Source organism: Homo sapiens, chromosome 18, assembly GCF_000001405.40.
Source record: "Homo sapiens chromosome 18, GRCh38.p14 Primary Assembly".
NCBI lineage: Eukaryota > Metazoa > Chordata > Mammalia > Primates > Hominidae > Homo > Homo sapiens.
The window spans coordinates 57,815,131-57,817,961 of NC_000018.10; the positions used below are offsets into that span (position 1 = coordinate 57,815,131).

At 44.8% G+C, this 2,831-nt stretch overlaps 1 annotated feature.

The window, feature by feature from the left end:
* Positions 1,087-1,381: an enhancer, noted in NCBI's record as "tiled region #4888; HepG2 Activating DNase unmatched - State 4:PromP, and K562 Activating DNase matched - State 8:EnhW". NCBI's record gives its function as "activates a minimal TATA promoter and a strong SV40 promoter by Sharpr-MPRA in HepG2 cells, with weaker activity in K562 cells {active_cell/tissue: HepG2 | K562}" and the evidence as "EXISTENCE:reporter gene assay evidence [ECO:0000049][PMID:27701403]".

Here is a 2,831-nt window from a genome sequence, read left to right on the forward strand (position 1 = left end):
CTTCATTTAAAATAGAAATTAATATTTCATCTCAATGGCATAACTCTTTAGTGGTGAAATTTTAGGCAGCAGTTGCAGTCAAGTCTGAGGAAGAGAGATCGTCTTGAGCTCTTGCAGCAGGCAGTGTTTAGACCCCCTCAAGCCACAAGGGGACACTGCCCATTATTCTAGAACCAAAAGACTGACCCAGTTAAAAGGCACAGGAGCCCTGTCAACGTGGGTGCAAGGAGACTTTCACTTGGAATATCATTTACACTCACACAGCAGTGGAAGTTAATTGCATGGTGGAGGATGGGGACTTCACCTGCTTCACCATCCATACTCCACTTTCCCCCAGTCACAGATCCTGATATTATTTGGGGGCAGCAGCATGCCCAGCTAAAGGACCATGTGTCCCAGTCTCCCTTCAGCGTCATGTGGTCATGTGATAAGGTTCTGACCCATGAGGTGTAGGCAGAATGTTACATGAGACTTCCAAAAACTCCCTGAAAGTCCAGAAACACACCCTTTTCTTTAGTCTTCAAGTCAGAGATGTGATGATGATGGCTGCTAAGTGGTTGCCATCTTGGATCTGAGGGGACTTTGCAGATGGAAGTCATTTACTGAGGAGGGTGGACCAGAAACATAAAAAGAGCGTGGCTCCCTGATGACATCGTGGTGCCACTTCCTCAGCCCAGACCACCCCCACTCTGGACTTATTTTTAGTAAGAAAATAAAATCTTTATGTGTTTAAGCCACTAGCTCTCAGTTCACTGTCACTCATAGCTGAATATATTCCTGGCTGAAATAAATGAGAAGACTAAACTTTCCACCTTTTAAAGAAAGAATATAGTGAGTAAAAAACAGGGTAAGATCTAGGAGAGATGCAAATAACCTTAAAACTCAACCTTCCTCAGCAGAAGGATATAATATATATATAATATATATAACATAAAACATAACATATATGTTACACATATAACATATATGTTACACATATAACATATATGTTACATATATCATATATTTATATATATAACAAGGATACATTCATTTAAAGCCCGAATCTCAAAAGTTCAGACAATGTATTGAAAGGGAAAATAAAACAAAAGCACTTTAGTATGAGCATTGGCGATTCCTGTTGGTCCCCCACAGGGTAGAAGATGAGAGGTTGGTCAGTCAGGAAGTGTCACCTCTGTGCACAACCTGGAGTTGTTTTGGAAGGAGGAGAGACGCCCAGAGCTTGAGCAATGCAAGCGTGATCCCTGCTCTAGGGAAGCGTGAGGTCATCTGCACATGCTCATTCATGCTCGCTTTGCTCCCCGCAGTAGGGACTCCTAGCACCTCCCTCAGACCCATCTTTGTTTTGGCTGCTGTGGCCATAAGATCTGCACAAGCCTCTGTCACAGTGCTGAGGATAGAACTGGTGAGCAAGCCCCAGTGCTGGCCCTGGAGGAGATGAGAGCTCAGTGAGCCGAGAGCAAGGAAACAAGCCATCAATCCCTGGTAGGACAAGTGTTCACAAGGGGGAAGGCCCGTGAGAAGACTGAGGAGGGGCCCTGACTCATTTTTGGAAGTCCCAGGAGGCTTCTTGGAGAAGGTGACCTTCTCCAAGAATAGAGACCTGGAGGATGAGCAGGAGTTTCTGTCCTCCCCTTAGTCACTGTTCAGTGGCAGCTGCTGTCACATGACAGTTCTTTGCCCCAGATCCATAGAGTGAAGTAGGTAGCAATGAGGTAGTTAGAAGAATACACTGCTGGGCTGGGCATGTTGGTGCACGCCTATAATCTCAGCACTTTGGGAGGCCAAGGCAGGCAGATCACCTGAGGTTGGGAGTTCGAGACCAGCCTGGCCAATATGGCGAAACCCCATCTCTACTAAAAAATACAAAAACAGTCAGCCAGGCATGGTGGCACATGCCTATAATCCCAGCTACTCGGGAGGCTGAGGCAGGAGAATCACTTGAAGCTGGGAGGTGGGGGTCAGAGTGAGCCAAGATCACGCCATTGCCCTCCAGCCTGGGTGACAGAGCGAGACTCTGTCTCAAAAAAAAGAATTAGTTAATTAATTAATTAATTAATTTAAAAAAAAAGAATACACTGTCCTCTCTTTTCCTTTCCTGGAAGTCTGAAGACAGAACCATCTCATTTGCTCTGGAAGGAGTCAGGGCCAACATCAGGGAGTGGGATTAAGGGCCAGGGAGGATGCTGAGTTAGGAAATACCCACCTCACCACCCTGGGGGTCAGGCCCACTGGACTATTCAGGCAGTGAGCAGCAGTACCCATGACCATGAGCCTTCTTCTCACACTCTTCTCCCCATGTGACTTATTTTGGTAACAGTTTCATTGAGATATAATTTATTCCTTCCCGTAGGACATAGCTAAAAAAAGAGAGAAAGAGGTAATTTATATACCACACAATTCACCTATCTAAAATGTGCAATTCAATGGATTTTAGTATATTCGTAGGGTTGCTCAATGATCACCACAATCAATTTTAAAACATTTTCATCGCTTCAGGAGGAAACCCCATACCCTTTGGCTGTCACCCCTCAATTTCCCCAACCCTGGCAACCACTGATTTCCTTTATCTCAATAGTTTTTGCCTATTCTTAACATCTCATAGAAATGGAATCACTTACATGGTCCTTTGTCACTGTCACTGATGTCTTCCACGCAGCAGAATGTTTTTGGGGCTCATTCAAGCTGTGCACACTCCTTCATTCCTGGTTATAGCCAAATTATACACACACCACTTTTCCTGTGTCTCAGACTGATGTCTGGGTCAGTCATCAATCCTATTCGTCAATTTATTCTCCAAATGCGTCTAGAGCAAATACCATGTGAAACCC